The 23,717-nt window shown below is 42.4% G+C and overlaps 1 protein-coding gene and 1 long non-coding RNA gene across 2 annotated transcripts in view; one reads left to right on the forward strand and one right to left on the reverse strand.

Annotated features, from left to right (window-relative positions):
* ZFHX3 (zinc finger homeobox 3) overlaps positions 1–23,717 on the reverse strand; it is a 1,109,046-nt gene that overhangs the window by 587,934 nt on the left and 497,395 nt on the right. The window lies entirely within an intron of this gene.
* Positions 15,987–23,717, forward strand: part of LOHAN2 (lncRNA oncogene in head and neck cancer 2) — a 34,592-nt gene continuing 26,861 nt past the window's right edge. The window contains exon 1 of the long non-coding RNA NR_038234.1: positions 15,987–16,436. This is a non-coding gene — a long non-coding RNA (lncRNA oncogene in head and neck cancer 2). The remainder of the gene's footprint in view (positions 16,437–23,717) is intronic.

Consider the following 23,717-nt stretch of genomic DNA (forward strand, 5'->3'; position numbering starts at 1 on the left):
GCCACAGGTCTGTCCTTCACTTTCTCTTTTTCCAGTCATCTCAGACATAATGGGTTCCTCCCTGTTTTTTGGACAATCTGTGATGGATGTATGGGTGGCTGACAACCAAGAGGTGCAAGATGCTTGGGAATGAAGGGAGCAAAGAAGCTCTTTGAGATAATGCTCTCCTGATTGGAATCCTTTTGGGAAGCCAAGTTTTTCTCTCTTAAGACCTCATCATTGGCCAGGTGTGGTGGCTCATGGCTGTAATCCCAGCACTTTGGGAGGCCAAGGTGGGTGGATCACCTGAGGTCAGGAGTTCAAGACCAGCCTGGCCGACATGGTGAAAACCTGTCTCTACTAAAAATATGTGGTGGTGCGTGCCTGTAGTCCTAGCTACTCGAGAGGCTGAGGCAGGAGAATCACTTGAGCCCAGGAGGCGGAGGTTGCAGTGAGCCGAGATCGCACCACTGCACTCCGGCCTGGGCAACAGAGCGAGACTCCATCTCAAAACAAAAGACCTCATCATTGAATTGTAGAATGTTGCATATGCAAAGGTTCTTAAGGTCAGTCATTCCAACCCCCAATTTTTTATTTTATTTTTTGAGACAGAGTCTCGCCCTATTGCCCAGGCTGGAGTGCAGTGGCGCCAACTCGGCTCGCTGCAACCTCCACTTCCTGCCAACCTCCAATTTTACAGGTAAAAAAACCGAGTACCAGGTAAGTTAAGTGAGTTTCCCAGTGTTAAATGATAAGAAGTGGCACAGGCAGGGCAGGAAGCTCCATCCACCAAAAGGAACTGGTGCACCGGGTGTACCCCTCAGTCCATCTTGGTTTGCTGTAGCAAGCACTAGTGAGGCTCACAGAGGCAGCTTCTGTGGAACAGGAGCTTTCCTTTATCATGCTTCCTTTAAATATGGTTTCTTCATCCTCATGCTAAGCCCATTTTCCATACCTCGCTCCACTTCCTGGTTTATTGCTGCCTGGTTTGGGGCCCTGAAGTCAATGTCACTGGTAAATAGTTCAAAGTCTCTCTTGCTGATCGCAATGCCCTTTCCCTCCCATTCAAGGTCTCGGCCCAGCCCCTCTGGGCAAGCAGTTAAGATTTTCAGTGGCTATGAGCCCCCTTCCTGGACCTCTTCACTCTTTTTCAAGCCTAAACATCAGTGCTGCGTTCACATGCACATGTCACGCGAATTTTTCTACTCTTTCCACTTCCAACATAGCTTCTATTTCCAAGAAGTCAAAGGGCTTTTCAGAGTCCATAAAAGTCTATGTACACAATGGCATTTTATACTCAGCAGTCTTCCCTGGGACTTTTTCATTTTCTGCAGGTGATCCGGAGTTGAGAAATGACTTCTAAATCCTGTCTACTCTCATGGCTGATTAAAGTCCAGAAGTCCCTGTAGTCCGCCTACCAGTACTTTTGTGAAGATTTTGCATAACTACTGAAAACAGTTTAAAAGATCATGTCTGTGATCTATTAAACAAGGTTTTTTTTTAAGGGCAATAAAGGGTTTAAAAGGAACATGTGAGACAGAAATATCTGCGCTCTGCTTATTATACATTAGAAATTATAAGAATAACACGTTTACTACTAATTACGCAAGTCATTTGTCACGAAGCTCTTGCCAGAAAACGTATTTGAATTCCCCCAAATTCAAATAAAGAATTAATGGGTAAATAATTTATACTCAAGTAATTATTTGCAAGACTTTATTTAAACTAGAATTTAGTCAAAGTTAATTCAAAGGTTTTATTCCTTGCATCCTGTAATGAAGTTGTTGTTTAATTAGAATGACAACTTGCTCCTCTAGGTAAAAGGAAAGGGAAATGTAAATTTCAGCGATGATTTTCTCTGGCTGCTCAGAATAACCATGGCCAAGATGGCCCATGATTTTGAGGAAGGACAGGACCTTGGATGATTCCGGTGACACTGGAGAGAAGCACAGAATTTCCACATGAATCACAGTCCTGGGGCTTAGGGGCATTTCTTTAGTAGGACCGACACAAAACAAAAATAGTAATGAAACCCTCAAAAAGCTCGCAGCCATCCATTAACACAAACTCAGTGACACCTACATCCGAAACATACACCCTCGCATGCAGACACCTTCACACACACCTCTTCCTGGCTAAAATAAATAACAGTCCCAATCCCACCCCTAATGACAAAACACATCCCAGATGCTGTCAAGTTGCTTTCACAGAGTTTAATGAGTTGAACATCCAGAGACACACCTGTAGTTGCCACTGGTCCTGAGGCTTCTAACTTTTCCAGTGTGAAAAATTAGAGACACCTGGGCCTGGGGACTTATATTTGTGGGGCGCTGGTGAGGAGGTTTGGGGGGGGGGTGGTTCCAAAGTCTCCAGATCCATTTTCTTTAAGAGAGAGAAATTGTCGACTGCTTTTCACCTTCCACTTCTCACCAATTGGGTGGCTATTCATTTCCTAGCCCTTTGGCCGAATTGTGCTATGTTTCATGAAGCATCGCTCTCAGGTCAGGAATTTTGGGTGAGATGGATCAAATAGGAAGAGACCAAATGCATTCTACCCCCATTGACCTAGGAGCCACGAGCATGCAGTGGCAAATGGTCCTCAGGAGATGGACCTTTGTGGGGCAATATGGAAGAGCCTCTTAATACTGTCCTGTCCATGAGAGATTCCTTCAGGGGTGACCCCAAAGAGTCTTAGCAGATCAGGATGTGGAAACTCCCCGGGGATCCTGTCCCCTTCCAGTTCAACTCCTGCTAGCCAGAAAACCGAGCTACCACCAAATGAACTGGATTGCCAAAGAAAAATGAAAGCAGAAAGTATAGGTTCTGCTAAGGACAGGTGCATGAGATTATCTGTGTTCAAAGAATAAAATGAGGCGGTACATGATAAAAATTATCCTTCTGTGCCTCAGGCCATGCCTCTGAACACATCTTTGGTTCAGAAATTTACAAAGAGGGCTTCACAAACTCCCATCTCTGACATTACTATGATGTATGATTTCCCTACACAATACAAGAAAGTGTAGCTGGAAATTTTGAGTTAACCCTTCAGACTATTAATGATTGTGCAAACTTTGGACTCAAATCACTTACAAAGCTATTGAAGAAAGTTATGCTGCTAAAATAAATGCTATGTTATTGCACATGAGATTGACAGGATCTGCAAAAATCAAAGCTACATAGTACGTGCACTCTTGGGATGAGAACGGGGATGGAATGCAGCATGCACGGGGTAAACTGGGATGCGGCAGATTTGCCAGATCCTCCAGCCCTTCTGCAGGTCCATCAGAATCACCTATCGACGCAGAGGCAAGAAAAGCAGTTAGCGCAGAAAATGAGGGAGCCGGCGACAGGAAAAACGTGAAGCAAAAGAGAGCAGGTGGGTTATTTCTTAAAGAATGACATGTTTGGAATTTTTAAACATATATACAGACATATATATAATTGTATAGTATATGAAATTATATAAATTATGACTTAGTTTTTTTTGTTACAGAAAATAACAAACCTCCATGTATTCACTGCTTAGCTTCAACAATGATCAAGGCCAGTCTTGTCATCGGCCATTCAAGGCCAGGCTTGGTCATTGGCCATTCAAGGCCAGTCCTGGTTCATCTATTCCTCCCACTCTCCTTCACTTTATTATTTTGAAACAAATCTCAGACTTACCATTTCATCTGTAACTATTTCAGCATGCATCTCTAAAACAATGATACAGTTTAAAAACATAACTATCATACCATGATCACACCTAAAAAGATTTCCTTAATGTCATCGAACATCCAGGCAATATTCAAATTTCTCTGATTGTCCTATACATTTTATTTTTGAAGCCTGAATTAGGATCCAATAATGTCCTTACATTGCAATGGTCGATAGGTCTTTTTAAGTCTCTTTAATCAATGTGGTGAACTTTCAATCTCTTTTTGTCCTGGGTTTTTAAAAAAATTGTTGTTGAAGAAACTGGGTCGTTAGTGCTATAGAGTTTCACACAGTCTGATTTTGCAGATTGCATTCTTATGGTGGTGTTTACATGTTCTGCTGTCTCCTTTCTCTCTGGTAAATTGGTGATTAGATCCAATGGCTTGACAGGGTTAACTTCTTTGGCAAGACTGTGTCATAGGTGGTGGTATGGATTTCTATCAAGGGATTTCATTGCCTGCTTTGATCTCTTTTCTTGATGTGAATAGTTATTTATAATAATTGCTTACATCCGTTAATTCTTTAAGGTTCACAAAATGGGCATCTTAATTCTAACATTCTTTCTCTTCTTCCTCCTTCTCCTTCTCTTCTTCCTCCTTTTTAATAAAGCTGGAATACTTCTATTGCATGAATTTTCCCCCCATTTGGTTACCTTGAGGTTTTGGTTTTCCTTCATTCATTTTGAATCATTATAAACTCACGGATTTAAACATATTTGATCTGTGCATTTCAATCGATTGAAATTCATGGTAGTTATTTTTGATAATCATTTTGTGTCGTCTTTGGCTGATGGCACTTCAAGTTGACTCATGCATCCTTCCTTTTTGATGTGACAAAATGTTCTGGCCTCATCTTGTATGTTTCCTTCCTGAGATTTGAAACTAGCCATTTCTCCAAAAAGCCCTGGGTCCTTTTAGTGAGAAGCAGTATTTAGAAGCCATAATTTGGATGTTAGGGTTGGTCACTGTTAATGGGTTAGTCACCCTTTCCAAGCCTTTTCAGTGAACACAGCAAAAATTGTAGACACACACACACTCCATATAATATATAACATGATATAACTATATAGGCATTTAGAGATATTTAAGATAAAATACATTATAAGTTTATACTGATACTTCCCATTCAAATTCAGTTACAAGTTTTTATTTAACTTTATTGATCCTTCAGCTGTATCTCCTTTTCTCCATGCTAAAAAATCTCAATTATCCATGATAATAATCTAAATACTTATTTGCTTTATCCCACACTAGACACCCAATAGTCCCAGGAAAACAGAAATCCAACCATCAGCGATATCATTACTGAAAACAGCTTACTATTTTTTTATAGGTCTTTTTGTCCTTAAGGATGTACATCAAATTACTATGCTTTAAAATAATTTAGATGGATCCTTCTCTGTGATCATGCCATCCACTGGATACACCGTTGGGTTCATTTATTTCATGTTGATTTTGATTTGAAGGATAGCTTTCTAAATTTTACTTTTGGTTTATACCTCTGTAAATATTTACATATGTCTGAAGTCAGATGTACAAAAGAAGGTATATTCAGAGAAGTCTATCTCCTTGCCATCATGGCTATCCTGTTCCTCCTCCTTTCCACTACAGGTAACTTTAAGATAAGTTATAGCTTACTCTTTTGGTTTCTTTTTAACAATACAGACAGCTGCCTTTTTATGTTAGATTTTATATAATTTTTTTGTTATAGAATCAGCAGTTTTATATATTATAGAATGAAGTTTTCTAAACTGTTGCTGGATCATAATTGCTGAAGTACAGTTTTAAATCCTAGAACAGTTCAAATTTAAGAAGGTCATTACCGACTTGTTACAATTCTTTAACATTGTAGAAAATGCTTGCAAAATTCTTTTAGGTTCTGGACCATTTTCTCTCTCTGACCTTCACTCAGCTCGTCCGTAGAATTTTTCAGCCATGTCAGCAAGGCTTCTACCACCTACTTGCTGAACTTTAATTCATTTCATTTTCATGAAAGGAAGGAAATCCCCTGAAATCATTTATTAGTTCTTCTAAAAAGGCACAGCCATCTGGGACTTTTTCATGTTTGTTGTGTGAGCAGCCATGTCGTGCTTTTTGCATCATTGGCTGGAGTCAATGTTGAAATCTTAATTCATGGTGTTTATAATGGCAACAACCGTACGGGAAGATTTACACTTTCCAGGAGGCGTGGTTGAGAGGCGGATGGAATGTGGCAGTCGTGAGGAGGAGGATGTGCATCTTCTGTGTCAATGGACGACATAGTAGATGACCCACCTTACATTCAATGTCCTGCTGAGTAACTGATTTCTCTGTCTTGATAATTATAAAACTGGTCAGAGAGTTGCTCCATGATCTAAGACATTTTACTAAGCTGCCAATATATTATGGTAAGACCTTCTAATTATTGCCCTTTAATATCCTGGGCTTTGCAAAACAGTAACTCCAATTTTTTCAGAAACATTTTCACTATCATGACTGCTTTTTTTTTTTTTTTGAGAGACAGAGTCACTCTGTTGCCCAGTCTGGACTGCAATGGCACCATCTTGGCTCACTGGAACCTCCACCCCTCATCTTCAAGTGATTCTCCTGCCTCAGCCTCCCCAGTAGCTGGGATTATAGGCACGTGCCACCATGCCTAGCTAATTTTTGTATTTTTAGTAGAGACACGGTTTCACCATATTGGCCAGGCTGGTCTTGAACTCCTGACCTCAAGTGATCCACCCACCTCGGCCTCCCAAAGTGCTGGGATTACAGGCGTGAGACACCATGCCTGGCCCACGGCTACTTTTGATTGCTGCAACAGTGTCCCCAGTGGTCTCCCTGCTTTCACTCTGTCCCCCACATGTGACCATCAAGGAGGACTCAGACCTACCAGGTATTAAGACTTACCATAAAGCCACAGTGATTAAGACAGTATCAGCACAGAGATGGACAACTAGATCAATGGAACAGAACTAAGAGCACAGAAACAGACCCTTGCACATTTAGATGCTTGCTTCATGACAGAGGTGGTATTGGAAATCAATGTGTAAAGATGAGCACCACTGTCTCTGCACATCTTTCCATCTCAGCTGCCATTCACAGACATCACTTTCAGTAGCTACTTGGTACTCAGCCGTATGAACATACCATCATGGTACCACCATTTATTTAACCAATCCCCATCCCTTAACATTTAAGTGACTCCTTTGTGTTTTTTTTTTCCTATTATAAACAATGCTGCAATGGAGATTTTTGTATTTAAATATCTTATACAGGCCAGGCGCGGTGGCTCACGCCTGTAATCCCAGCACTTTGGGAGGCTGAGGCGGGCAGATCACGAGGTCAGGAGATTGAGATCATCCTGGCTAACACGGTGAAACTCCATCTCTACTAAAAATACAAAAAATGAGCCGGGCGTGGTGCCGAGCGCCTGTAGTCCCAGCTACTCAGGAGGCTGGGGCAGGAGAATGGCGTGAACCCGGGAGGCGGAGCTTGCAGTGAGCCAAGATTGCACCACTGCACTCCAGCCTGGGTGACAGAGAGACTCTGTCTCAAAAAAAAAAAAAAAAAAAAAAAAAAAAAAAAAAAAAAATCTTATACACATACTTATGTCCTTAGTTAGGATTAACTCATCAGATGGAGCTAATAGGTCAAAGAGCTCAGATATTTTGGGAAAGCATGGTCCACATTTCTTTCCTGAAAGGCCTGCTACTCCCACTAACAGCCTATGAAAGAGTCAACGTGCTTCCTCTGACAACTTGGAATATCATTACTTTAAAATCTTTTTGCATTTCAGGAGTAAGGAAGGGTAACATAGTTGTTTTAATTTGCATTTACTTGATAACACATAAAGCTAATCATTCATCCCCACCAAATGATTGGCCCTTTAAGGTTTTTCTTTTGTAAAATATTTGTTTTTGTTCTTATATGGTTACTAAACTGCTCTTTCTCACACCACTCCAATCCACCAGGTATGACACTGTGAAATTACTATCTCTAAGTAACTCTTGTGTACCTGGTTTCGCTGTTCTAAGAAATTCTAAAGGTTAAATGCTAAAGGTTAAAAAAACTATAAAAATACGTACAGATAAATTTAAGATAAAAGACATGCTTCTTGCTTCCCGCAAGATAAGGGCCAAAGTCTTTAACCAGAGGTTGATCTGCACCAAACTAACCTCAGTATTCTCTTCCACCATAACCCTCGTCCTTGACCAACTTGGTCTGCTCTCTGTTCCTTCTCCATGTGACATATTCCTCCCCCCATGCTTTGGCTCTCATTGCTCTCATCTCAGAATTTTCTTTTCACTTGCTCAGTTTCTTATCTCCCTTTATGCCAAGCTCAAGTGCATTATCCCCTTAAATCTTTCCCTGGGAGAATATCACCTCTGACCTTCCGAGATACTTACTGTAGTACCTTCCCATGCTTCATGCCATCTACCTTTTTAAGATTGTCCTTTTGGGGGCACTTGTTCTAACTGAAGTGTAAAACTCTCAAGGAAGAAGACAGTACACCTTGAGGTTCTTTTATGCTAGTGTTTCGTACAGTCCCAAGAACTCAGTGTGTGGATGATTCTGACGATCCCACGAAGGAGGATCTGTCAATGGCATGTTGAGGAGGGGGAGATGAGATTTCTATACCCTTGTATCTGCATAATCCCAAATATTTTTTAGGATGTTTTTACTGAATTTTCAGATGTTTAACGATAATACCTGATTTCTTAGTCATGGAGGAGTAAAGGTGTTAAGGGCAAGTAGAGGTTATAGTGAAGTCTGCTGAAGTTGGTAAGCAGCCATTATTGGGTCATTCTGGAATGCCTTGGCTTTTTACTTCTATTGACCCCCAAGCCCCAATCTCAGCACAGGCCCCAATCTATCACCCCACAAGCCCCAATCTCAGTGCTGTATTGTGGGCTGGCAGACTCTGGACAAGGGAAAAGCAGCATACAATATAAAATGGAATAAAAGCCAAGTTCCACCTCTGCTACTTACAGGCTGTATCTCCATAGGCAGGCTACCTAACTCTCTTCACCCACATAGCAGAGACAGTAATATATTCCCCAGGATTCTTGTGAGAATGAAGTAAGACAATGTGTATAGAGTATGCAAAGTTATCTCCACAGAGCCAGAACTCAATGCATGGAAGCTATCAATGTAAGCAGAAAGGAAGAGGACCCTGCTGGTCTTTTCTGTCTTGGCATGAAGCAAGAGGTTGGGTCAACATGAGCAAAAAAATAAAGTCAGGCATGTCCAAGGTAATAAGGGACAAAGGGTGGAGTCTTATTTGGGGTCCACTGCTAAAGCACTTATCCTACTCTGCAGGGCACTAATAATTCCTGTGCCAACTCAGGGGTAAATTAGGATGGAAATTGCAGAGTGTCTGTGCAATGCTTACTTCTGACCGAAGGCAGCATCCAGGCCTACTGAGAGTCACTGGAAACAACCACCAGAAATTTTGGAGACTAAAAGCACAGTAACTGTGAAACTCCTGGAGGAACTCTAGAATATAGCTACATTAATTGATTCTACAATGAAAACTGGCAAAGGAGGGTGAAAACGTAAAGTACAGATGAAGCATAACCAAGCACAAGAGAAAGCAAAAGTAGCAATGTGGACATCAGAAAAAAATGAAATTTAAGGTTGAAGGTATAAAACAGAATGGAGAATGACATTATATAATGTTAAAAAGCACAGCTGATAAAGGACATATAATATCCATAAACCTCTATGCACCACACAACACAACAGTTAAGTATATAAGGGAAAAAAGAGCTTAAAATACAAGATTTTAATGAAAATAAGAGTTGGAGGTATCCATAGACATCTCTCAGAATTAGACATATTTACAAGACAAAAAATAAGAACAGAGGGAATCCAAGATTTTTTAAAGAGCTCAGTAGAATAGGTAACTTGCTATGGTTATGTTATCTGCAGAACTAGTGAAACGCACTGACACAAGAAAATGAAGTCACTGTCATCAATATTGAGAAAAGTAGATAAAATTATCACTTTTGTGTTGATATATCTGAATACCTAGAAAGCCCAAGAGACTCTAATGAAACACTAGTCAAATAAATTAGACAACTTAGTAAAGATAGTAAAGATGAATACACAAAAATCAATTGCTTCACTCTCTACTAGCATTAAGCACCCAGAAACGAGAATGGGAAAAAATGACAAGAGATTAAGAAGTTTAAAAAACTTTAAAAATACTTAGAGAGAAATTTAATGTAAGAGGAACTTGAGTGGCCAGGTGCAGGGACTCACACCTGTAATCCCCAACTGTTTGGGAGGCCAAGGTGGGAGGCTGATTTGAGCCCAGGAGTTTGAGACCAGCCTGGGAAACACAGTGAGACCCCATCTCTACAAGAGGAACTTGGACCCAGAGTTATATATTCCTGGGGTCACTCTATCCTCACCAGTGAGGTCTGAATTTCAACCCTAGGTTCTCTGTTCTATCTTTGCTTGCTCTCTTTCAGTCCTAGATACAGTAGCTGCTTCTCGCATTTACTATTCCTATCTTCCTTAGAGTCTTCTTTTAACTCTTTTAGTAGTTAACCACTATTTTACTAGTTAAAAATCTTACATAAATTTTCCCTGTTTAAATTACTGGTGTGGTTTCTCTCTCCAGACCCTGACTGATGCAGACCTATATGAATAAACTATAAAATCTTATTGAAAGACCCCCCAAACAAGAACTAAACAAATAGATATCTTCTCAGATAGAAAGACTTAATATTGTAAAATAGCTTTTCTTCCCAGAAAACATATATAAATTTAATGATATTCTAATCAGAATTCCAGTAACATTTTCATTATTTTTGGAAACGGTTAAAAATATCTTAGATTCTTTTGGTAGGGTAATTTCATGAATAGCTATGAAAAGCATGAAAAATAAAAATTGTGATGAGGGATATGACTAGCTGTATATAAAGCCATAGTAATCAAATCTAAGTGGTTTGGGCAGAGAGAGAGAGAGACAAAGAGATGAGTGGAAAAGAATGGAAAAATCCTGGGAAAGATCTTAGGATACATTGGAATTTCATCTATTACAAAGACAGAATTTCATTTCACAGGGCAGAAAGTGATTTATTTTTAAAAAATGGGCTGGCACCAATGGCTAGTCATCTAGAGCAGAGATTGGCAAGCTTTTTCTATAAGGAGCCAGATAGTAAATATTTTAGACCAGGAATATCCAATCTTTTGGCTTCCCTGGGCCACATTGCAAGAAGAAGAATTGTCTTGGGCCACACAAAACATATACTAACAATAACAATAGTTGATGTGCTAAAAATAAGTAAATAAATAAAAAATAAAAGTCTATGCATAAATCTCAAAATGGTTAAAGAAAGTCTACAAATTTGTGACAGGCCGCATTCAAAGCCATCCCGGGCTGCATGCAACCTGTGGACTGCGGGTTGGACAAGCTTGTTTAGACTTTGGTCTAAAATATTATGGTCTCTGCTGCTAGTACACAACTCTGCCATTATGGTGTGAGAGCAGAGCTAGACAATACATAAATGAGTGGGCATGGCTGTGTTCCAATAAAACTTTATTTACAAACACAGGCAGCTGGCCTGTGGGCCATAGTTTGTCAACCTCTGGATTAGAGGAAAATAAAGTAGTCCCCCATTTCTGACCAAATACAGAAATAAATTCCAGATGGAGCAAGGACTTAAATGTAAAACATAAACCTCTTAGAAGAAAAATCCAGGTGCAATAAGGTATGATTATATTACGAAGGGTATCCATCATAAGTCAGAAAATTCAGAAGCCATAAAAGAAAAGCTGGACCTATTTGAGTTTATAAAAATGTAAAACTTTTATACGACGAAGATGTTATACACAAAGTCTGAAGATAACAGATTTGAGAAGAATGTTTGCAGTACAGATGACTTATATCTCTAATCTACAAAAGGCTCTTACCAATTGGCAAGAAAAAGACAAACAACCCAACAGAAAAATGAACAAAGGGTATGGATTTTAGTTTAAGTGCGATTGGAGCCCTTGGAGGTTTCCAGCAAGAGAATAATATGATTTATGTTTTAAAAAGCCCACTCAGGCTGCTGTGTGGGGAATGGATTGTGGGGGGGCAGGAGGTAATCAGGAAACCAGGGAGGCTGGCTGGAATGTTTTTGCAGACTACCCCACTTGCCCCAAGAGAAGGCTTAATAGATGTTCAATAAATGTAGGCTGATTTTTGATGAAAACATCTGTGCCATACCCCGCTATGGAATCTAGGCCAAGTGTCCTTGAGCTGACTCCTTGATCCTTTCCTTGAGGGTATGTGAGGTTCAGAACGTGGTAAGACTCTTTTCAACTTTCAATAGAAACAAATGTGTGTCTCTGGTTGATGAAACCCAAGAGCTGGGATGAGGGCTACCCCTGAGAAATCCTGCCATACTTATCCACACCTCAGTGCTGTTGCCCCTCTTGGCTCTGATTATGGAAAGGGGAGGCAAGAAGACCTGTTGCAGTCTGAAGGAACCGGTGAATTCTTAGTTAAATGAGGCAGGACACAGGAGACAGGGGATGAAACTGAGAAGGAAGGGGGATCCTAAACTAACACAGGAGATGACAGAGCACATGCTTGGCCGCTCTCCACATCCCCACATGGGGAGGAGGGGGTTGCACTGAATAATCTCTTCTCTTAAGGCTTGGGGACCCAATGACTTAACTGCAAGTCATTTGTCTGCACGTGAAGCCAACAGTTTTCAAGTGATCAGTGGTCAAAACGAAGTAACGACTTGCTTCTCCTCAGCTAGGAAGTGGGTTTGGAAACTCTGGCCACCCATCCAGCAGCAGGAACAGCAGCTGGAGTGACAGGCAGCACAAAGAAATGTCCCTCCCTCCCTCTGCAAGGTTTAGGAAGCCCGAGGCAAAAAGCCGAGGCTGTAGAGCGGCACTGGGCCTGGAGCTGGTAACTCAGGCTCCGTGCAGAGCCTCCGCTTTTTCAAATGTAAAATAAAAAACATCCTGGACAGGAGGGATCTCTGGAGAAAAATGAAAGAACGCACACAGACGAGAGCTGCCGGGGAGAGGCAGCGGAGCTGACATTTTCTGCAAAGGGAAGAGAATAGCATCACCGCAGAGGGACCCCGCATCCAGCAACAGAGCTCTTGCGGCTCATCTTTGTGGAGGCCTCTCTGTTTCCCGAAATCCCTTGTGGAGCAAGCACAAGAAAGTGGATCCGAAGGAACTGGAGGGGTGGGGGGTGGGCAGTGTTAGCTCCCCTCCAACTCTGCCCCTCACAGCTGCATCCGGCCAAATTGAGGATGCTCTATTCTCCATGACTGAGCCTGTGTCTGGTTTCCCAGGGAGATGGGCACAATGGACCCTGCTTGCCAACGATGCTGGTCTTTAACAAAACAGCGGTGCCTCGTGCTCTGCACAAACACACATTTCTGCACACCCAGAAGAATGCATGCCTTCCAAAGAGTATCTGCCATGTGGTAGACACTCAGGAAATTCAGGATCCTGCAATCATTTTAAAGGCCTCCCAAATGGCGAGTGCTCCACGAACACACTTCAAAGAAAGAAATGAATGAATGAGCAGATTATTTTGGAATCACGTTCTAATAATCCATCTGGATATGTAGACCCCCAAACAGAGGCAACAACCATGTGAATTCAATTCCTGCCATGATGTCAGATGCTCTTGGCCAGGAATTGGCAAACTGCAGCCCAAGGACCAAATCTGGCCTGCACCCTGTTTTTATAAATAAAGATTTATTGGAACACTGCCACACCCCTGTGTTTACATATAGTCTATGGGCTGTTTTTGAGCTGTTAACAGTAGGCCAGCTTGAGTAGTTACAACGAGATCATATGGGCTGCAAAGCCTGAAATATTTATTATTTGGCTCTTCACAGAAGAATTTGCAGACTCTTGCTCTAGGCAACGTCCTGGATTTAGCAGGTCTGAGGTGAGGTCAAGGATTTCATGTTTCTGAGCAGCTTTCACTTGAAGTTGATGCAGTTAGTCTTGGAGACACCCTTTGCGAAGCAAGGTTTTAGGCACTCTCTTTTTCCAAAACAAACAAAAGTATGATGAACCATTAAACATTAAGTACCAATCCTGTACACAGCATGAACTTGGCCCTGCAGTATCACATAACTTGAGTCAGCTGTAATCAAAGAAAGTCTTGGACATCCCTGTTTCTCACCTCATAGGCCTCACTTACTGATAGGAGCCTAGCAGCATACACAGCATACACCAAGGAAGAGACTGGAACATTCCTGTTTAGTTCATCAACAGCCACAAATCTAGACAGACAGCTCAGTGGACATTCATTGCCTTTTGACTTCCAGCATCCATTCATTCCTCACCCGAAGGCAGCAATTTTGAAATATTTCTCTCTTCCCATTTCCATTAATGTGCTTTGGGCAGGGCTGACTCCAGGCTCAGCCCAATCAGCATCTTGCATCCCTCCTACGTTACCCTGATTGGTTCAGGGGTGAACACCTGACCCACTGGGTTCCCATGGGACTTTTGCGGGGACTTCTGTGAAAACAATGTTCTCTCTTTCCTAGAGCATCTGTAGTGAGACAACATAGAATCTGAGCTGCTGTACGCATTTCATGACGCTAAGAAGGCACACTAAGAAGGAAAAGAACAAGCATGGAGGGGACAGTTCCAAGCAACACAAAGGAGAAGAAACTTGGTGACTTTGTTTAGGCTCCTGATCAAATGCTACCCCTAGCCACAGGATGTTCCCATGGGTTTTTCAGTTATATGAGCCCACACATCCCTTTTTGCTTCTGCCATTTAGAGTTCCAATTTTTGTGCTTTGCAATTGAAAAAAAAATTCAGATAGGAAAAATTACTAAAACTTTCCGTCTGACTGTGGCTGAGCAATTAGGGCCATGAACACTCCTGCATGTTTGGACACATTTTGGCACATCTGCAGGAGGAGCATGAATAAACGGCTGCCTGTCTTGGAGCTGAGGCACTTGCTGCCTTGACCATCACCAAGGCTGCTATCACTTATAGGCCCTGGCAGCTCCAATCTCTCCAACTGCAACCAGCTCATGTCAAAACAGTCCCGCAGTTTCAAGAAAAAGGATCCTGGGAAAGGGTTCAGGAATCCTGCTACGAGTCAACTGAGCAACGTGTTAGGTTTTGAAGGGAAGGTGAGGGTTAAAGAAAGACACACACAGAGAGGAAGTGGCAGCTATACAGCAAATGCAGGCTTTATGTCCAGCATAAGACCTCCAGAGGTGGAGGACCAGCCTAATGCCAGTGCCCCCCACTGCTTACAGGCTGGGGTACTCACAGGTATGGGCAGGAGGGGCCTGGGCAGGATGGCTTGCTGCCTGGGATGATATTGCTAAGACATTGCCATGATGAGGCAGTTTGGCCTTTGTTCCCACGGAAGGTGATGTTCCTTGCACTTTCTCCCAGCAGGGTATGATAAGGATGTTCCTGTGCCTTGTGGTCAGGTGGCTGGGCAGGATGTGTCTCATGCCCCGAACCCCAGTGGAATGTTTCACTTGACCAAGATGTGTGAAATGGTGGGGGGTGGGGGGTTACAAAATGATGCGGTTTGGTCTAACACAAAGAAGCACTAAAGAAACTACCGAAGGGTAGGTCATCTCAGGCGAAACTATACCAGGTAATGTTTTCTTTAGCACCATTCCATGTTCTCTTAGCATCTTCTTGACCCTAAAGTAACCAATGCTCACTCTCGCTCTCTTTCTCTCTCTGTTTCTCTCCCACCGTCTCTGTCTCTCTCTCTCTCTTTCTCTCTCTGTTTAACTCTCTTACCAAAACAACTTTCAACTAGTAAGCAGATAGGAAAGGACCTTATTAAAAAACCCACAGGACTCAGGTTCACCAGTTTTTTAACCAGATAGATCTGGATTTGAATTCCAGGTTCACCCCTTACTAGATGTGCATATATGAATAAGCAACTTAAATGCTCTGAATCCCCGTTTGCTTATTTTTTTAAATATATGCTTTGCTGAGTTATCATAGGGAGATGAGATAAGGCATATAGTGGTTACGTGTAAGACTATTATCAAACCATAAAAATAATATTACGGACATAACATTAATATTGTTTTAGCCTCCTGGAGGTGTTTGCATTTTCATAGGGAGCAATTCCTTTCTTAACCCAACATTAGGAACTGTAAAGTCAGAATTTCAGCCTCAGCGACAGACCTATTGCTAGGTTTATATCTGACAGGTGGCTACTTAAAGAAGGGGTTCAAGAGCCCTACACAGTCCTTAGGCAATGACCCTGAGAATCAGAAACTCAGGCCATATATGTGGAAGCAAAAAAAAAAAAGATTCTAGAGATTGGAGGAGTTGCTGAGTGACAATCAGGCTGTCATCACTGAATTCTGATGGGCTACCTGGAACTGGCTTAGGGTGGGATTACATACGCCTCCTGCCACATCGGATTTCCTTCTATTTTGTCAGGGGTGGCATCATCCAGTGAGTAAATCTGTTAGTGATCTCCCTCGCATAACCTAGGAATTCTCTCAGGATCCATTTTTCCAGTAGTTTTGAGAAAGCGACCAACAACAGCAAAGAGAGTAGTTCTTCCATTCCAAGAGCAGCCATCTTGCTTAACTGACAAACTAGAGAGAACTGCAAGGACTCAGTACATCCCTGGCACAGTCCATTCTCTCTCACAGCATATTGTATGAGACTGTGTGAGTGCTGCTTCCACGCTACACTAAAAACCCATGGTCCCTGCATTATTTGAGCAACTGACAAGCTTCTGAAGTTCAGGTTCGCGAACGCTGAGAGCAGCACCCAGTGGATTTGTGGCAGGTGAGCAGATCCTTCTCATCTCCCATTGTGGAAATTTCACATTTCATTCTGCTTTGTGAATCCCACAACTTCATGACAAGATAGATTAACATTTTGCAAAAAAAATAACAAATAATGTTCTGCTTGAGGGAAAATCAGACATTAGGCTTCTTATAAGAAACAAGGGGTCATGTTGAAGACTTCAGGATAACATATCTTGGAGAAGAAAAAGCCATTCAGTGGTTCACTCCCCAAGTCTGTGGCAGGGTTTTTTTGTTTTTTTGTTTTTTGTTTTAAAGGTTATTTTCATAACTTTGAGACTACAATTAATTTCTGTAAAACCCACGGAAAAATAGCCTCTTTTCAATAATCTTCCCCCCATCTTTTTCCCCAAGAGTCTTTAAATCTGAGAAAATTTTTCTTTTCAATTAAAACAAAAAATTGAACAGATGTGCCTCAAGAGGGCTGGCAGTACTTTTAAGAACTGGTAATAATTTATTTAGAACCATGTATAGTAATATAATATATCTTTATACACAAGTCGCACATAAACACCCACTGCTTTTGGTGTGGTACTTACTGTTCCTTGTTGGAACACCCAGGAAACTTCCATATGTCAGAGATCATGTATGACAGTCCTATCTTCTGTGTAAAAGGTCATCTCCCAGCAGAAGAATAGCTCGCCTAGTTAAAGGGATACCAATTTTTAAACGCTCTGCCAAGCTGAAGATGGAGAGAATGAGTGAGAGAGGGAGATGTCAGATTTCAAATGCAGGGCACGCTCATTGTGCCCTCGGATGCTGAGCTGGGAGGAGGGGGAGAGAAACCTCTATTTAGAGATGATTGGAAAAAATCAGTGCCACACAGTGCACTTGAGAAGCAATGCGGCAGGCTATTCTTGCCCTCTCCTTGGATGTGACAAAATGGCCACCATGGAAACAGGAAGCAGCAGCAAATGGCTGCCACAGGTCTTCTTGGATGCTTGAGGAAGTGTCTATGTGTATCCAGGCCTGTGTGGAGTATTCCTAGGGTAGCAGGTTTTTAAAGTCAGGGTGAAGAAAAGGGAGGCATTTAGAAGGAATGGACAATTGACAAAGAAAGTGGTCAGACAGCACCAAAGGGTAATGATCTGGGAAAATCCAAGGTTCCAAGAAAGTACGTTGACCCCAAGAAACTTAGAATTTACAGTATTTTAGCCACCTTGAAACTATATAACCATGCCAGCTCAAGTAACCAAAAATATCCTAGTCCCTGCACTAGCCGCTTTTGAAATATCCTGTTTAAAATGACCCCCTCACCACCACGGGTAAGTTGCCAGGGGATTGGAGGCTCCATGGAGGGCTATCCCTAAGCCAACCTGCCAGGCAGGCAGGCAAGTTTCTGCCCTCCCCAACCTCCCCCTGCTAGCTCCTTTCCTCCTGAGAGTCGAAGACTTCCTGATGTTCCTGGTTGCATCAGACACCAATCTGGCCCAACTTCCCTATTAGAAGGCCTCTGTGACAACCAGCCAATCCGATGCACCAATCTGAGTAACTGTTTTCCCTCCTTCAGGACATGGTTACATTTAGTTCGATCTTTTCCTTCCCAAGGCAGATGCCCAAAGCAAAAAGAGTGAAGCAGTCAGAATTTCAGACACTGTGAACAACTCCCCTTGGGGTACCTCTGGGGCTGGCGTCTTTACATCACGACGACAGAAAGCTGGCCCGCACAGACTATGGCCACGGCGTCTTAGAGGTTTTGTTTCTCTGCAGGCGTCCAGTGCTCTGTTTCTTTCCCTCCTCACCACTCTCCAAACCACACTCACACAAATACACGTCCCTATGTGCAAAGACGCGCATATGTATATTGTATATCAGTGTGACACTCACACATACGTGCGGTGTTAGCATAGCCTTTCCCCCTCGAGTCCCTGTTGTGCTTCCCAGCACCCAGCATCCTCCAAAGCAGGCAGTGGCACACTATCACTCATAAACTAAATCCAGCCACTGCCTGCTTTGTAAATAAAGTTTTGCTGGAACACAGACCTGCTGATTCGTTTGTGTATCGTCTGGCTGCTTTTGCACTAGAACGGGGTGGAGTAGCCACAAAAAAAGACCATGTGGTCTGAAATATTTGCTCACTGGCACATTAAGAAAATGTTTGCTGCCCTCTAGTCTAAAGCAGCATCTTATATCTAGAAAATCTATTCCTTAAAAATTGTCAAAAGGTCTTTCTCTTATCTTAAAAGTGATTCATAAACCTGTACCTCTTAGAGTCATGGAGCCATGTAATTAGAAGGCGTATTTTAGATTGTTAGTCCTACTTATGGCCTAGTACGTGATTCTCTTCTAGGATACCTGTGGACGTCTCATCTCTCTTGATGGTTCCAGTAAAAGGCAACACACAGCTGCTCACAGGGAAGCTGTGATGTTTCCCAACAGCTCTATTGGAAAGTTCTTTTTTATCCGCAGTGAAAATCTGATTTCCTATCATTTCCACCCACTGGTTCCCATTCTGCCCTTTGGGGCCAGTCAGGAAAAGGGGGACGATCCTTTTTGAAAAATCGGCCAGGCATGGCAGCTAGTGCCTGTAATCCCAACGCTTTGGGAGGCAGAGGCGGGTGGATCACTTGAGGTCAGGAGTTCGAGACCAGCCTGGCCAACACAGTGAAACCTCATCTCTACTGAAAATACAAAAATTAGCCAGGTGTGGTGGCGCACGCCTGTAGTCCTGGCTACTCAGGAGGCTAAGGCAGGAGAATCACTTGAACTTGGGAGGCGGATGTTGCAGTAAGCCGAGATTGCACCACTGCACTCCAGCCTGGGTGACAGAGCGAGACTCTGTCTCAAAAAAATAAATAAAAAATAAAAAAATAAAGCATCAAGTATCTGGAGGTAACTGGCATGCCTCACCTTTATATTTTGCTTCTCCAGGTTAAAAAATAACCCGTCCCTCTACCTGTTCCTCAGGTGGTGTGGTCTCAAGGCCCCACCACCTCTGTAGCATCTCTTGGTGGTTAATATCCCTCTTAAACTTAGAAAGCCATGAGTACTGTGAAGATATCAGGTGCTTTCTCAAGATGAGCATTCATTCCTGGTCACCATGGTGCTGAGAGTTCACCAGTGAAGTGTTAGAAGCTTCTGGAGGGCAGGAGCAGAGGCTTGCTGCTGTCTTTCTGGAGCAGCAGGCACAGGCACAGGGTAGCCCCATCATCTCATCGGGTCCCAAGATGCCCTCTGAAGCTGGATATGCCAAGCTTTGCACCGGTGGCTGGAGGCCTAGCGGGGATTCCACCGGAAATCTGGTTCTAGAGAATGGTATATTTTGAATTAACCACTCAACAAATCATAAAGCAGGATTGTCAGACTCATTACGGGAAAAGCTGCACTGAAAATAATGCCTTAAGTATGTGTTGTTGCTGCTGGGGATACAATCGGTATTAGTGGCTTAAGGGGCTCAGGAAATTTCCATGAGACCGTAACAAAGGAACAGCCAGCATTTGGTGGGAACAATGGAGGATGGACCCTTTTCTTTCATCAATGAAAGGAGATCTTTCTTATTATTTAAAAATTTGCTTCTCCAAACACCCACTTCTCCCCCTGGTGTACCATGTCAGAGTTACTGAGGAGGTTTTAAAAAAAATCATTAAACAACCCCCCCAAAAGAGGGCTCAATGAGGTCTCATTCCGTGGTAATGAGCTCCAATTTAACGCCATCATTATTTCTGACATTAAAGGCCCGAGAATAGTGTCACATGCCCAGAAGCTATTTTTTTTTTTTTAAACCAGCTAATCCCAGAAATAAGAAACTGCCATGAGGGACAGTGAGTCAGGGCCTGTAAAAGTGCTTTAGGAGAGGACTGTGGCAATAGACTGACCTGAGCGTGGGAGGCACAGCCTGCACAAGGCCCTTAGCCACCTTGGGCGGACAGGCCCAGCTTGTGCAGTGACTGTCCAGTGAGTCATTAAGACCCTAGGTTTTGGCCAGACGCGGTGGCTCATGCCTGTAATTCCAGCACTTTGGGAGGCCAAGGCATGCAGATGAGTTCAAGACTAGCCTGGCCAACATGGTGAAACCCCGTGTCTACTAAAAATTAGCCAGCCATGGTGATGGACACCTGTAATCCCAGCTACTCAGGAGGCTCAGGCAGAACTGCTTGAACCCAGGAGGCAGAGGTTGCAGTGAGCCAAGGTCATGCCACTGCACTCCAGTCTGGTTGACAGAGTAAAACTCTGTCTCAAAAAAAAAAAATAAGTCTAGGCTTTGTGTTAGATTCTAAGTTTGAGGCTTAGCTGTGCTGCTTGTGCCAAAACCTTATGACTTTAGGGAATTTTACTTAAGTTCCTCATGCCTTGGTTTGGCTCATCTGTAAAATGGAACCCATAATAGTACCTACTACCAGGTGGAGGCAAAATTAAATAGGATGCAGAACACAGACTCTAACATATCAAAGAGAAGAAAGGAACCTACAGGATGATGGACAGGGAGGGACATCTGGAAGCAACAGCTGGGCTCCAGGCTTAGAGATCAACCAGTGCCAAGGGGGGCAGATCAGAAGGCTCTAGAAGAACTTTCATAAGAAGACAAAATTAGTAGAATGCCCAATATATCTGGATACATTGAGAGATGATGCACACAACCGGGGAAGACTTCAGGTATATGTCAATGACAGAAGACTAAGAAAAGCAAAAACAGAACCACTGAAAACAGAGTCATTTGGGAAAAGAAGAGTAAACAGAATATACTACATGGCTCAGCTAGGCTAAATATTGATCTGATAAAAATGACAATATCACGATATTGGCAAGATGGGAATTTTATGAGGGTTTTTTGAAGGGGAATTTAAAAGAGAGCTGGGCCCTCATTTTTCACAGTGGGAAGTCAGTAGATAATGCCTAGAAATAAAAATCAAGAAACAGCAGCAAGGCCAGGCGCAGTGGCTCATGGCTGTAATCCCAGCACTTTGGGAGGCTGAGGTGGGTGGTTCACTTGAGGTCAGGAGTTCAATACCAGCCTGGCCAACATGGTAAAACCCCATCTCTACCCAAAAACACAAAAATCAGCTGGGTGTGGTGGGGTGTGCCTATAGCCCCAGCTACTCAGGAGGCTGAGGCACGGGACCCTTGAACCCTGGAGGTGGAGGCTGCAGTAAGCTGAGATCACACCACTGTACTCCAGCCTGGGTGACAGAATGAGACCCTGTCTCAAAAAAAAAAAAAAAAAAAAAAAAAGAGTGAAAAAGAGAAATAGCAACAAAAGCATTTTATTGAGAGATATGGAGGTAAAGTTCTAAGGAATCAGTTTAAAGCACTAAAAGAGTTTATCCATAAGGGAGTAGGAGCTAGATAGGGGATTTTGGGGGAGAAATTATATATATTTTTGCAACAAGCTGGAAGGACTATATAAATCTAAAAACTGTGTATGTAAGTAACTTTGATAACAGTAAAACTAAATAAAATTCCTATTGAAATGGACCCCATCAATTGATTTCACCACGAGTTCCTCTGGATTTATTAGGATTAAGACCAGATTTAGCAGTTTCTCTGTTGGCTGTCTCAACCTTCTAACAGATGAAACGTCGAATAAGGCAGGTCAAGAGCATTTCCAGAAGTGTATCTTTGTTTTTTGTTTTTTTGTTTTTTGAGACAGTCTCACTCTGTTGCCCAGGCTGGAGTGCAGTGGCCTGATCTCTGCTCAATGCAAACTCCACTTCTCAGGTTCAAGTCATTCTCCCGCCTCAGCCTCCTGAGTAGCTGGGATTACAGGCACCTGCCATGACCCCCAGCTAATTTTTGTATTTTTAGTAGAGATGGGGTTTCACCACATTGGCCAGGCTGGTCTTGAACGCCTGACCTCAGGTGACCTGCCCACCTTGGCTTCCCAAAGTGCTGGGGTTACAGGTATGAGCCACCATGCCTGGCCAGGAAAGAAGTTTCATTGGCTCACAGCTCAGCATGGCTGGCTGGGCTCAAGCAATCCTTCCATCTCAGCCTCCCCAAATGTTGGGATTACAGATGGGAGCCATTGTACCCGGCCCTTCCTTCCAATTTAAGCTGAATATTTCTTTGGTCAAATCAGTATGTTGCTTGTCAGTACATTCTTGTCAGTCTCAATGGGCTGATGACTGGGCCCATGACATCCCCCATGATCACTGACAGTATTTTACCGTTCCTGATACTGCAGTTCCTGGTCCTCCCCTTTCCTCCATACAAATGTTACATTCAGTACTCCCAATCTAGACAGTCGTTCATATGCTAGTTCCTTTGAGATCAAAATTATGAACTCAGATTTGAAGCAGAGATGAGCACATAACAAAGGTATTTGCGCTGTTCACAACTTCAAAGTCGCTGGCGAGAAAATCAAGTTGCTACTGGACGTATGCATTCCTTCTCACGTGAATCTTCCTTCTGATGCTGTGTGCTGTTTCCTAGCTCTGATCACATTGAATAAACTATGAAAGTTGGGACCTAATCTCCAAAACGAGAGGACAATGGTTCCTGCAGGAAAACACATTCTCTTGGGAGTCACCATAGTATCCAGTGGGTAAAAGCACTGTTTCAAAAGGAAAAATGCTAGAAAACACTGAAGTGTTCAATTAAGAACATTAATTCTTTAGTGGTTTTCTACCTGTATGCCAACACTACAGATATCCTATTATATATATATATATCTCATGTATATCATATATGTGATATATATGAATATATGATATATATAAGATATATATAAAATATGTATTATATATTATAAAGTATATATATCATATATATCATATATGTGATATATGTATACATATATCTGTATGAATCTAAAAACTGTGTATATAAGTAACTTTGATAACAGTAAAACTAAATAAAATTCCTATCGAAATGGATCCCATCAATTGATTTCACCACCAGTTCCTCTGATTTATTAGGATTAAGACCAGATTTAGCAGTTTCTCTGTTGGCTGTCTCAACCTTCTAACAGATAAAACGTCGAATAAGGCAGGTTAAGAGCGTTTCCAGAAGTGTATCTTTGTTTTCTGTTTTTTTTTTTTTTGAGACAGTCTCTGTCTCATATCTGATACATATTTGATATATATATACATATTTTTCTTTTTGAGACAGAGTCTTGCTCTGTTGTCCAGGCTGGAGTGCAGTGGTGCGATCTTGGCCCACTGCAACCTCCACCTCCTGGTTCAACTGATTTTTGTGCCTCATCCTCCCAAGTAGCTAAGATTACAGGTGCCCCCTACCACGCCCAGCTAATTTTTTGTATTTTCAGTAGAGATGGGGTATCATCATGTTGACCAGGCTGCATTTGAACTCTTAGCCACAAGTG

The sequence above is a fragment of the Homo sapiens genome, chromosome 16, assembly GCF_000001405.40.
Source record: "Homo sapiens chromosome 16, GRCh38.p14 Primary Assembly".
NCBI lineage: Eukaryota > Metazoa > Chordata > Mammalia > Primates > Hominidae > Homo > Homo sapiens.